The following is a 13,828-nucleotide window of genomic DNA, read 5'->3' on the forward strand; positions in this document are numbered from 1 at the left end:
ATGAGATAGTAGCTATGAAGTGGTAAACTGTAAAGAGCTGTGAACTTGACAGTTGTGTGCCCTCTCTGTGCCAGGCATGTGCCTTGTTCCTTAGAGATGCCATGTCATTGAACCTGTACCACGGCTGGAGGTGAACTATTATTGTACTGTTTTGCAGACTGGGAAACAGAGGCTCAGAGAAGTGGGGTGACTTGCCCAAGGTCACCCAACCTGGAACCAAAGCCAAGTTTTTTCATCTCCAAAGGCCACGGAAATCGTAGATTTAAGGACTTTCAGCCCCCAAGTACCAGGTCTGTTAGGTTTGAGGATCCCCAGCCCCGAGAGCACTGGTGGCCAGGACAGGGCAGACAGTCTGGTTTCACAATTTATTTCACCCCCACCCAGTTGTTTGCCAAAGGGAGGGGTGGGGCGGCCGGTGGCTGGGAGCCTGGGCCGCCCAGTCACAGGGTAGACTTGTCTGCCTGCCAGCCAATCCAGGCTGCCGGAGCTGGCGTTGGAAAGGCCCTGGCCCCATCTTGCCGGGACACTCTATCTTTGTCCCTGAACACAAAAGGGGCCTTGTCTTGGCCCAGCAGTGCTGATTCCACATGCTCCCGACTGCCCCAGCCCCTCTGCCACGAGAAAGGCCCACTTTGTCGAGTCAAAAGACTAACTTGTTTCTTTTTCACCAAAACGTGTTGACTGACCTGGTTGATTTATCTTGGGAAAGTGGTGAATGAGGGAGGGGAGAGAGGTGACAGAGACAGGCACAGTCCAGAAGGCCATGTATCCTGGCCTGACTTGGGGGTGGGCACCCAGCCCTTACCTGGGACAGAGGGATAGCCACATAATGTAATTTCAGGGGATTAGGACAGTCGTCCAACCTCACTAGTAGCAGAGATTCCACCATTAGGTATTCATTTCTTTGGCTTTACCCTTTGAAGACAGCTAAAAATAAAAACTCCCTTTGAATGGGAATGCCCTATTGTCACAAGTGAGTGAGAATTAGTTTTCCTGAGAAGAGAGGTGAGTCAGAAGAGAACAAGCAGCAGGTGAGGCGGGGCAGCAGGCACCAGGAGCCCAGAGGGAAGCTGGGAGAATGAGGAGGGACTACTCACAGAGGAAGTGAGATTACGTGAGGGAGGAAACAAAAGCAGACTTTTCTTTGGTAATTTTTCCTCAATATCAGGCCTTCTCCCTCCACAACCAGCAACACCATTGCTTAGTCTTCTTCCTTCCTTTCTTCCTTCCCTTCTTCCTTCCCTTCCTTCCCTTCCTTTCCTTCCTCCCTTCCTTCCTTCCCTCCCTCCTTCCTTCCCCTCTCCCTCTTCCCCCATCTCTCTTTCCTCCCTCTTTCCCCCCTTCCTCCCTCTCTTCCTCCCTCCCTTTCTCCTTTCTTTCCTTTCTTTCTTCCTTCTTTCTCCTTTACTCCATTCAAGAAATATTTATGGCCAGGCACAGTGGCTCGTGCCTGTAATCTCAGCACTTTGGGAGGCCAAGGCAAGAGGATCACTTGAGCCCAGGAGTTCAAGACCAGCCTGAGCAACATTGTGAGACCCTGTCCCAACAAAAAAAAAATAATAATTTTTAAAAAGCCAGGGGCAGTGGGCTGCACCTGTTGTCCCAGCTACTTAGGAGGCTGAAGCATAAGGATCCTTTGAGCCCAGGAGTTCGAGGCTGCAGTGAGCTATGATTGCGCCACTGCACTCCAGGCTGGCTGACAATGCAAGACCTTGTCTAAAATAAAATAAAATAAAAAAGTATACAGTTATATATTTGTAATATAATAATAAACAAAAAAGAGAAAATATTATGATCCCCACACTATGCTGTTAAAAGAGAGAGAGAGAGGAATATTTATTGAGTACATACTCTATGCCAGGGACTCTTTTAGGCACCGAGGCCATAACGGAATCTCAGACCCCTGTCTTCAGGAAGTGTCCACTCTTCCTGGTGATAAACAATTAAGTGCATGACTAACGATCATTCTGGCAGGGGTACGTGCTGTGAAAGGATGGGGCAGGGTGGCGAGGCAGAGCAGCTGGGATGCGGTGGAAGGACTGGGTTGGCCGGGCTCCCTGAGGAGGGGATCATGCTGAGACATGAGGGGTGGAAGGGACCAGCCGTGGGGATGCTGGGGACAAGTGTTCTAGGCAGAGGGAACTGTACATACGAGGGCTCCAGGGCTGGGCCAGGGTGGAGCCTTCCAGATACACTGAGGCCAACGGCATTGGCTTCCCACCAAGTGCATGGAGGGGCGACAGCAAGAGGAAGGGTTCAGAGTGGCAGGGGCTGGACCCATAAGGCCTGGTGGTTCCTGGTCACATCCTCAGGTTTTTATCCTGAATAAGATGGGAAACTATAGGAGTGTGCAAGAAGGTAACACAATCTAATTTTTTTTATTTAAAAGGCCCCCCCCGGCTGCTGTGTGGAAAATGGATGGAGGAGGCTACTGCAGCCATCCAGGTGAGAGCTGTCAGCAGCTAGGCTACAGGCGTGACAGTGGAGCAGGGGAGAGTGGGCAGAGTTGAGATCTGTTTTTTAGAGCTAGGATCCAGAATGAATGAATGAATGAATGAATGAGCCCCTGAGGGATAAAATTTAGGCTCGAGTTCCTGTAATGCCACTGAGTTTCAGTGTGACCCTGGGCAGATCCCTTCCCCTCTCTGGGCCTCAGTTTCCCCATCTGTAATGCAAGGCACAAGGAGCCTGGGACAGCTGACGCCAAGGTCTCCTGCAGCATTCCTGAGCCTCTGACGCTTGCAGGGGCGGAGGCTGTGATCCAGTTACTAATCCAGTCAGGCCTGGCTCATCCAAGGGCAGCTGCAGAAACCTGCGGGTGATGCATTGACTCACGCGTGGTCCTCTGCTATCAGCAGAAACTGGGACAGCCAGGGGCCTGAGACTCACCCGCAGGCTGGGAAAGGTTGGCAGGATGCCTCTATGCAGCTGGGGGAAGGGAGCAGGCTGCCAGCACTGGGCTTCCTGAGCCCCTCTGGGGACTGATGTGACAGCCACTGCAGCCACCGCAGCCACCATACCTTCCCAGTTGGCCCAAGCTTGGCATGGGGCTGTGCCCAACCTCTGTGGGCTACCAGGAGACACTGGCAGGAGCACAGGACCTGCTGTGTGCCCACTCCATCTTCTCTCTGCCAGGCACTTGATGAAGTAGACAGTAATACTCCTATCTTATTGATGGGGAAACTGAGGCACAGAACATTGTAGGTGGCCAAGCCAGGAGAATCCTACTATGTTTGACTAGTTCTTTCCATTGTTCTGCTCTGCCTCCCCAGTATGAAGCAGACGGGTGTGAAAGAGAAAGGAAGAAAAGCTAAATATGTTTTAATAAATATAGAAACTCACACCCTCATGTTTTACCAGGGCCGAGGACTTTCAAAGAAAAGCTTCTTCTTTTTGCAACCTTTTTGCAATGTGGCTAAGCCACTTGGCCATTGTGCACAGCTCTTTTACTGCTCATTTATTCATTGGCAATTGCAGCAAATATTTATCAAGAGCCTTCTACATGCCAGAGACTACGTGAGTCTCTGAGGAGGGAGACACGACGATTAGCAAAAAGCGACTTCATATCTACACTCACCGGCTTGTATTACATAGAGGGTGAGAGAGATATCAACAAAAAATTTGGAAACTCTACAGTCATTTTTAAATTCTGCTTCGAGTAAGTTCCTTCCTTCTCTGAGCTTCAGTTTCCTCATTATAAAATGGGATAGTTAGAGTTCCTCCCTCATGAGGCTGAAGTAAACAGTTGATGAGATATGGCCTGGCCCACAATATGTGCTCATTAAATCCTAGTTGTTGCTGTTATCAGTTCCTGTGTATAGCATAACTTCAGTAGCCTAGTAGGTAATAACTGTGTTAGGATGGCCCACTGAAAAGCAGACGTCAAGATTGAGTTCAACATACAAGAGATTTATTGAGAGAGGGAGCAGGAGAAGGCAGGTCTGGCACCTGGGGAAGGACAGGGAGAAGGAAGGCAGATTGCGTAGGAAGAGTCTTGAACTGCAGTACAATTCAAAAAAGGTTAAGCCATGCCAATGGAGAGTCCTTGAGCCAAAGTCACTTACTGGAAGGGTTCTTCATCTCTCCAGAGTGGGCCTGCCTTTAGTATTCCTGCCATGCTCGGTGGTTGGCTGACAGCAGCCCACAGGAAATGTGGGTTCAGCACAGATATGGCAGCACATCCCAAGGGACAGCAGCTGGGGCCGTCAGTCAATCATGCTCCCCACGGTAGGAGACCTGAGCAGTGCACGTTCATGGCTGCCGCAGTAACCAGACTTGGCCCTGGAGCCAGAGGGTTCCGAAACTCTGCACAGCCCATCAAAATGAGTTCATGCAGCATTCCGTGCCCTCAGTGTGATACATTAACCAGCCAGGGCATCTATGGGGAGAGTACTTGGCCAGCATCAAGAGGTGCACACCTTGGTCAAGTTTTAGATTGTGCAAGGTGGAAAATAGGATGGAATCAAGACCACTGGGGGCCCACTTGGACCAGGCACTGCTGACGTCAGGAAGGGAGGAGTTGGAAAGGCACATCCAAAAATCTACTCAGGAGATAGCTGCCAAGAGCCTGTGCTGTTCAGAGGCAATGAACTTTCCCCTGAGGAAAGGGGAAAGGGGCTCCAGCACCATGCAAGGAACCGTGCTGGGGCGCTGGACCCCTAACCCCCTACTGGAAGGTTTTTGGGTTTCTATGGAATCTTCTCGGCTCAGTGTGGGAAGGGGACTTCTCACCCATCCAGTCCAACCCTCTCATTACACAGATAGGGAAAGCGAGACCCAAATGGGAACAGGAGCTGCACAAAGTCCCCTAAGAGCCACTGGCTGAACTGAGGCTCCAGCCAGGATTCCCAGCACCCAGGCCAGGGCTGGGCCCCCTGCGGGCAACCCTGCCAGCATCTGTCAAGGGACTACTACAGGAAAGCGGGAGGAGGGCAAAAAAGAGACTGATCTCCGGAGAGGGAGCTGGGGCTCGGAGGGCAGACAGGGAGATCCGAAAAGGATGGGGAGACTCAGAAAGGAGGCTGAGGTCTGAGAGGGGCATGAGAGCTTGGAGAGCGTACAGGAGCCCTGACAGAGGGACAGGGGCTCGGAGATGTTGGGCTCAGGCTCTGAGGGCCTACAGTGCCCCAGGCAGCCCGGCAGCTCTGGAAGGCAGCAGCTTCCTCTCCTCTCGGCACTTCACACCCCTGCAGGGCCACCCGGAGCTGGAGGGACTGACACTCTCAGGCATTAGTCAGCTCGTGGCGGTTAAAAAAAGAAGGCTCGATGGCACTTGTGAAGAACGTCTCTTCCAGCTTTGAGCACCAATGGGCTGCCACCTCCCCGCTGCACCACTGGCCAAGGATAGAGGAATCGGGAACAGGGCGGAGGGCCCAGAAGCTGGGACCCCTACCCCAACGAGGGCTTCCTCCCAGCTCCCACCTCATGATGATGATGATAATAAGGTCAGCAATACCATTAGTAGTAGTGTTTGTGATGTAGTGTAGTAGTAGTGTTGGCACATGCTTGCCACTGGCCCAGGCATGTGAGGAGGGCTCTGACCCTGAACTTGCCCTGAGTCCATTCACATCCAGATGTCCCATCTCTGGGGCTGTGCATAGGGCATCCCCTGCAACAGCCTGGTCCGAAAGTGACCCATGTGCAGGTGCAAGCTACAAGGGGACTCAGAAGGCTCCCACTTCAGCCACCACCTCCCACTTCACAGATAGGAACACTGAGGCTCTTGGAGGGCAACAGTCATCCAATATCATGTGGCAAGTTGCCCAGGTTTCTGTCCCCAGCCCAGGGGTAATTCCAGTAAGCCAACTGGTCAGGCACCCAGGTTCAAATGTGGGCTTTGCACTGCTTGCTGTGTGACCTTGGGCAAGTGACACCGCCTCTCTGTGCTTCATCTAAAAATAGGGATAAAAATACTTACCTCGAGTGAGGATTAGAACATAAGGCAGGCATCCGGAATCTCTTTTTGACTGCTGTATGCATGGTCAAAAGAGCTTAAACAGCTTAAAAAGCCTGACCCCCAGCAAAAGTGTGACCAATGATGGTTAACATGAGTGAGTGCTGGTTCTGCCTGGCACATGTGAAGATTCATGTAGTCCTTAGCAATCCCACAAAGTAGGTATTTTTGAATCCCATCTTCCACATAAAGAAATTTAAATGAGGCACCCAAGGCCACAGAGCTGGAAACTGGTAGCATCAGAAGCTGAATTCAGGCAGGTGAGCACTGTGCTAAGTGCTCTACACAAATGCATTTGTTCACTCATTCATTCATGTAACAAGCAGTAAGCACCTATTATACACCAGGTACTGCTTTAGATACCATGCATACAGCAGTCAAAAAGAGAGTCAGGATGCCTGCCTTATGTTCTGTTTCTCATTTGTGGTAGGTATTTGTGTTATCTATTTTTAGATGAAGCACAGAGAGGCAGTGTCACTTGCCCAAGGTCACACAGCAAGGAGTGCAAAGCCCACATTTGAACCTGGGCCTAGCTGATGCCTCGTTTTCTGTCCTGAGGGACCCTTTTCCAGCAATATCCCCAGAAGGGACTGAACCAGAGGTGTATGCACTGATGTCTGTCCAGGGTTCAGGCCCATTCAGAGCCCCGGAACACTCCATCCCACGCAGCCTTAGCCTCATTTCCCAAGTGGCAAGTGGCACTCAGGCCCCACCCTCTCCAAGCTGTCATGAGGATTCCTTCCTTCTTTCCTAACACTAATTGAGATGCCTCCTGACATTGTACAGATACCATAGTTTAGGAAACCCCTCCTCCTTTCCTAGAGGTTAGTTTTGCTTCAGTCTGCAGAAGAGAAAACCCAGGGGTCTCAGAGGTGACATGATTTAACTAAGGCAGTGACTCAATCAGAATTCAAGCCCAGACATGTGTGCCTCAAAGCAGCAGCAGTCAGGGTCTCAGCAGGAGCAGATGGCACCCTCCAGGTAGGTCATTTGATTTGATTTTAATAAAGGGATCACTTAGGAGGGATGAGAAAAGAGTATAGCAAACCACAAAGGATAAGGTAGTACCTCAGAGCTGGTGCAAGTCGAACTATTATGGGCTCAAAGGGTGAGAGGAGGGAGAAGGGAGAAGTTGGCTGTCACCAGGAGATAAGAGAGAGCCCCCAATAGGAGATGTGGCCTTCAGTTGAAGGACACAGGCAGCTTGAGGGGATCTTGAAGGCAGAGAACTGGGGAATAAATACACCAGCCTCACTATCCTCTCTCTTCCCAGATCCCACCAGTGCTCCCAATGGGCCAGACCCAATGGAAAGCCAGACAACAAGGGTTCCCTTGATTGACATAATCCCTGCAGGCCAACCACTCAGGACAGAGAGCAAGGAGAAGGATGGGAAGAGGATCTGAGAGGAGAACCACAAGATCTCCAGCCAAAGTCAAGTACACTTTCCTTATCTACTGCCTTGTGCTTGCAGAGGCATAGTAGGTTCTGTTGTCTATGCCAGCAAGGTCACTATGGAAGGTACAGTTGTCACTACGGCTAGTTCATGCTGCAGGAACAAACAACTCCCAATTCTCAAGACTTCAAACAGGTTGGCAAACTATAGCCTGCAAGCTGGTCACTCATCTTGTAAACAAAGTTTCATCGAGACACAGCCACAACCACCCATTTACGTACTGTCTGTGCCTGCTTTCTTGCTCCAACAGCAGAGTTGAGTAGCTGTGACAAGCCTAAAATATTCATTCTCTGGCCAAGAAAATTTGCCAACCCTTGGCTTAAAAAAACACAGGTTTGCTTCTTACTCCGGTTCCCTGTCCATCTCCAGTTGGCAAGGCTTCTCCTCCATAACGTCCACAGTCAGGGGCCCAGGCTGGCGAGCCCTCCCTTGAAGAACCCGCCAGTCTCCCTGGCAGGGGATGCAGACAAAAAATTGCTCACCAGCTCTTGAGGCTCCCATCAGAAAGAGACACACCTCACTTCTGCTCACAGATCTTGGCAGAAATCAAGTGCCAAGGACGTGCCTAACTTCAAGAAGGCTGGAAAGTACAGCCTCTCCACGCACCCCACATGAGGAGACCCAGAAATGGACCCAGATGGTGGATAGCACTCCTGACAACTGCGGCATGCGAACACGGCAAACGGTTGTAAAACAAAGGAATGAGGACACCGCTGGGTCTTGCAGCAAGCTTCTCCAGAATCCCTCCTGTGCACAGGGCTCAGGGAAGCCAGACAGGATTACACCCGGGGGTGGAGAAGCTGGAGAGAATGCATGTCACATGCACGCTCGGCCACTACCCTTTTTTATGGCCTCCATGGAAACAGAAGCAGAAACCAGAGGGTCCCTAGGAGCTCCAGCCACACCCACTTCTCATTCTCTGGGGACAAATGTCTGAGGGCTCCCTTCTCTCTCCATCAGGGTCCAGAAGCTGGCCAAGGACTGAAGAGGCTTTGGCTCAATTTATGACTTTATTACCAGTCGCCTTCCAGCTGTGAGCCTCCACTTCCCCAGCTGCAACAATCTGTGGGTCTCAAGGTGAGGTCCTGTGACTGGCAGCATCGCCATCACCTGGAAACTGATTAGAAATCCACATTCTCAAGCCCCACCCAGCTCTATTGAATGGGAAGCTCTGGTGGAGGATCCCAGAAATCTGGACTTCAACAAGTGTCTCCGGTGATTCTGATGCTTGAGGAATATAAGGCACAAACGAACTGAGATGTGCAAAGCCCGGGCCCGCACTGCTTTTCCAGCAGTCCTCCCCACCTGCATAAATGACAGTTTCATTCTGGTTTAAGCCAAAAACCTGGAGCCATCCTAGAGGGTTCTCAGACCCTAATCCTGTGGCTTAGCCTTTAGAATATATTCAGATCTTGGCCTCCCTCTCCACCTCCTTCACTCTGCGTGGCCCTAGCCTCTGCCATCTGACACCCACATACTACCTTGCCTTTCTAACCCCCGCTCCCTCTTCCTTTGAGCCCTGTAGTACATCCTCACTCCAGCAGCCAGAAGATGCTCTTAAAAACTCAATCAGATGATTCCACGCTTCTGCTCAGAACCTCCAATGGCTTCCATCTCACTCAGAAGAAAACCTGACAGGGCCGCCCTTGGTCTGATTCCCACTGACCTCTCCACCTCCCCAACGCCCTGCCGCTTGCTTGCCGTCTCCAGCTGCACTGACCTGTTCTCTGTTCCTCCAACATGCCAGGCACGCTCCCGCCTCAGGGCCTTTGCTCCCGCTATTTCCTCTGCCAGAAACCCCTCTCTAGTGATCCCCACACGGCCCAAGCCCTCACCTCCTTCAGATCACCGCTCAAATGTCACCTCCTCAGAGAAGCCTTCTCCGACCCCGCCATCCTGCGCTGCCCCCTCCTCTGGCTTTGTTTTTCTCCATAGCCCTCACCACCACCTGACACACATCTTTGTTGTTTCTCTGTTTATAGTCTGCCTCTCCCCACGAGGGTATGAGGGCCACGAAGCCAGGCACTGCCTGCTTTGTTCACTGCTGTATGCCTCCCAATGCCTGAATATTGCCTGGCATGGAGAAAGCCCTGGGTAAATATTTATTGAGTGAACAGACGGATAGGTAGGTAGACAGATGGATGGACGGAGAAATGCTCATTCCTTGGGCCTTGCTGTGGTCAGCACGAGGCAGCCCCCATGGGCACGCCCCAAGAGTTACACCACAGAAAGACCCCAGGATTGAGGGCTGGGTCCTTGTATGCCGCTCTGGGATCAGCAGGTCTGGGTTCAAGTCTCTTGAATTGACCTGAAGGAAATCACATAACCTCTCTGATCCTCAATTTTCTCATCTCTAAAATGGGGATGATGCTGATAATGTGTATCATGTGCCTTAACCTTATAGGACTGCAGCGAGGACTAAACAAGGTGCACGTGAAGGGTTGCAGCGTGATACCCAATACCTGCTAAATCCACAACACACAGGAATTACTGCTGCCCCTATTGCTTTGCTTTCTTCTCAATTTTGCCAGTGGCCTGGGGTACTTGGGCAGCCATAGGGCTTATTGGGAGTATAACTGGCTCCAAAGAAAGGGACTTGGGTTTGAATCCTTGCAGCTACTATCTCGCTATATGACTTTGTGCAAGTCACTAGCCCTCTCTGGGCCTCAATTTCTCCCTCTGAGCAATGGGAAAAGGGTATTGAAGGAGGTTGTTTTGTGATCCCTGCAACTTGCCTCCCCAAGTCCTTCTGGAGGACCAAGCCCACGCTCGCCAAGCCCTCTCCTCTTCGTGGCTGCAGTGGGGAGGCCCTGAAGCTGAGGAGGCTGGCTGGGGCTCATGCTGACTCCTCCCCTAGCCTCACTGATTCTGCAGGGAGGGAAGAGAGAGGCAGTACTGGGTTGTGGCTGAAAGCACCCCAACTCCATGTCTAAACCGGAGTTCTCCCTCTGGTTTCTGTGATTTGAGTGAGTCACTTAACCTCTTGTGCCTTAGCATCCTCATCTGTGAAATGGGAATAATTATCACCTATGAGGATAAAATAAACTGCTGCGTGTAAAGTGTTTAGACAAGTGCTTGGCACACAATTATCACTATTATTATAATAGCTGCTATTATTTCTAACAACCACAGCTGGTCTCTGGACCAGGCACCATCAGAAGTTTTTATAAACTTTGATTTAATTTTCACAAATATTCTACGCCATTATTGTCTCCATTTGAGAGGTGAACAAGTTTGGCTCAGAGACTGAAGCCATTTGCCCAGGGTCCCACAGCTTGCAGGTGGAGCTGGGTTTGAACCCAGTGCACTCTCAAGCCTGGTTCTTTCCACTCACCATGCTGCTTTCCCTTCGCTCTCCGTTTTACTGATGGGGAGACAGAGGGTTACAGAGCTCACTCCCAGGCCTCAGTCCTGCTGGGCCCTTTCACCCAAAGCATTCCTGGATCCATGCAACATCGTACCTAGAGGCAGAACTAGAGGCCATGATGACTCCTATTCACAAAGAGGCTGCTCAGTGTGAGGGGCAGAGCAGAACCTGGCCTGGCTGCCAACAGGTGCATGGCCAGGTCTCCAAGGGAAGTGGCCCCAGCAGCTCCCAGGCAGCCAGCCCCCCCTCAGCTGGGCAGCCCCTGATCCTCCTCCCATCCCCCTGCTTTATGACCTGTTTTATGAGCGGGAGGCCTGGCAGCTTCCACGTTGCCATGGGAACCAGCCCAGTGCGGGCTCCTGGCAGCTCAATCAGGGATTGGCAATTTTAAGTCAGGAGCCAATCCTGGGGCTAGCGAGGGTTTCCATGGGTTGGGGTCTGTGGGCCCCAGGGATGCACAGTGCCTGCCTGACTGTCTGCCTCTCTCCTCTGCTCCAGCTCCCCAGGTGCCCAAAGAACTCAGGGACCCCACAGCTGGAAGATGACAGGCTGTTAGAGCCCTGGAGGAGCCTGGGGCAGCAGGGAATGACATGGACCACCGAGTGGGGGCTGGGAGAGCTGACAGAGCTGGACCGTGGACACACATGCTTAGGGGCACACAGAGACACTAGGACAGCTGACATGAAGGGACTCACAATGATATACAGATACAGACTCACACAGAGAAACAGAGATATGCACATGGCAGCCACATGTGCATAGCAAAGAAAGGTACTTGCAAACACACAGACATACACAAATCCATAGGAATACCTGGGTGCCCAGAGACTCACAGACACACAGACATCCAAAGACACACACAGAGGACACTTGGACACCCAGAGATACATCCAGACATACACATAGACACACAAAGGACGTACAGACACACACTGCTCACTGCCTGTGTGGTCCAGGCAGCTTGCCCAAACTCTCTGAGACCCAATCGCATCATCTTTCAAAAGGGCATCACAATCCTAGCTTGTGAGGACAGGGAGGAATAACGAGGAAAATGGCTGCGTGTGCTCAGACACCTTCATTCATCCAGCCAGACAATATTATTGAGCATCTACTATGTGCCATGTGCCTCCTCCGAGCTGAGAACAGGAAGCTAACAAGGACCTACCCTCAGGAAGCTCACAGTCTCCTTCGGAAGACAATAAATACAGGAACAAAGCAACAGCTAAGAGTGACTCGGAAGACAATAAATATAGGAACAAAGCAACAGCTAAGAGTGACTCGGAAGACAGTAAATACAGGAACAAAGCAACAGCGAAGAGTGACTCGGAAGACAGTAAATACAGGAACAAAGCAACAGCGAAGAGTGACTCGGAAGACAATAAATATAGGAACAAAGCAACAGCTAAGAGTGACTCGGAAGATAGTAAATACAGGAACAAAGCAACAGCGAAGAGTGACTCGGAAGACAATAAATATAGGAACAAAGCAACAGCTAAGAGTGACTCGGAAGACAATAAATATAGGAACAAAGCAACAGCTAAGAGTGACTCGGAAGACAATAAATATAGGAACAAAGCAACAGCTAAGAGTGACTCGGAAGACAATAAATACAGGAACAAAGCAACAGCTAAGAGTGACTCGGAAGACAATAAATATAGGAACAAAGCAACAGCTAAGAGTGACTCGGTGGAGGAACCGGTTAGGGTAGTCAGGGAACACTTCTCTGAGGAGGTGACATTCGCCTGAGACAGAAGGAATGTGATGGAACTGACCAGAAAGGGTAGAGAGAAGAGTGTCCCAGTTAGCGGGAACAGGAGGTGCAAAGGCGCTGAGGTCAGAGCAGGGCTCCATGTGGCCAAGAAGCCCCAAGGAGATCAGTGTGGCTGCAATGGAGGGAGGAGACAGGGGATGAGTTTGAGAGTAACTGGAGGCCGGAGCAGGCAGGGACTTGAAGACTGAGTGATGTACTGTGGGTTTCATTCTCCATAAAATGGGACCCACAAAAGTGTTTCTATCAGGGATCATCTGGTCAAAATCGCATTTTAAGTAGCTCACTTTGGCTGCTGGCAGGAAACTGCCTGGATGGGGCAAAACAGGACATCGGGAGCCTAGCATTGGGGGCTGTCACAGCATCCAGGGGAAGGGTGGCTGCAGGCTGGACCAGGGTGATGGCAATGGCCATGGATGGTCCTTGAAATTGTGCATTCAGCACATCTTTACTGAGCTCCTATTCTGTGCCAGCCATTGGGGATGCAGAAGCCAACAAGAGAGAAATTCCTGCCTTCACAGGGCATGCAATCTAGAGGAAAGAGAATGGTAACTGAATATAATATATGCCAGTGGTAAGTGACGACAAGTGCTGTGGAAAAAATCAAAGCAGGGAAGGGTGTGGAGATCTGCCAGGGAGGAGTGGGGCAATTTGTAGTTTTAAACAGGAGAGTCGGGAAAAGTCTCATTGAAAAGGCCACATTTTAGTGAAGATGTAAAGGAGGCATGAGATAGAATCTGGGACAGAGAGTTCCAGGCAGAGGAAACAGTGAGTGCAAAGGCCCGGAGGCAGGCCCACTCCTGGTTTGTTTGAAGAAAGCAAGGAGGTCCCTGTGGCTGAGCTGACTAAGCTGGTGGGGGCGGGACAGATCATGCAGGGAAGGAAGGGAAGGAGGAAGGGGCTGAATGGGCAGAAGAGACTGGGACCTGGATGCCTATAGGAGGGAGGGAAACCAGCGAGACAGGGCCTGGCCCCTTCTCCATCCTGCTCCCCCGACCCAAGGAAGCAGCATCTCCCATTCCTCCTTTCATCCCACAAAGCTTCATCAGCCAAAAAGTGAAAGTTTAAAAAGGGAGGAACTGATCCCAGGAGAGGCAGGGCCCTGAGATTTGCCTGAACCCAGGTCAGACCCCAGCCCGGGTGGGGTGTGACTTCCTGTGGCTCTGATGGAATTCTCACTGTCCTCCTCAGGATGCATTCCTGGGCCTGAGGCACAGAAAGAGGACACACAGCCAATAGCAGCCAGTTTCAGGGCTCCTAAGCCTGCTGGGAGACACCCCCAGCCT

At 51.3% G+C, this 13,828-nt stretch overlaps 1 long non-coding RNA gene across 1 annotated transcript, besides 1 other annotated feature; it reads left to right on the forward strand.

The window, feature by feature from the left end:
- Window positions 1,641–2,551: an enhancer, noted in NCBI's record as "H3K4me1 hESC enhancer chr20:1809920-1810830 (GRCh37/hg19 assembly coordinates)". NCBI's record gives its function as "activates a minimal SCP1, AML or CMV promoter by ChIP-STARR-seq in primed H9 embryonic stem cells {active_cell/tissue: H9 hESC(primed)}" and the evidence as "EXISTENCE:reporter gene assay evidence [ECO:0000049][PMID:30033119]".
- Window positions 2,223–8,908, forward strand: LOC105372501 (uncharacterized). Its single transcript, XR_001754475.2, has 4 exons — window positions 2,223–2,445; window positions 3,361–3,658; window positions 5,193–5,444; window positions 7,227–8,908. It is a non-coding gene; the product is annotated as an uncharacterized LOC105372501 (long non-coding RNA).
- Window positions 8,909–13,828: the final 4,920 nt, after the last annotated feature.

This window comes from Homo sapiens, chromosome 20 (genome assembly GCF_000001405.40).
Source record: "Homo sapiens chromosome 20, GRCh38.p14 Primary Assembly".
NCBI lineage: Eukaryota > Metazoa > Chordata > Mammalia > Primates > Hominidae > Homo > Homo sapiens.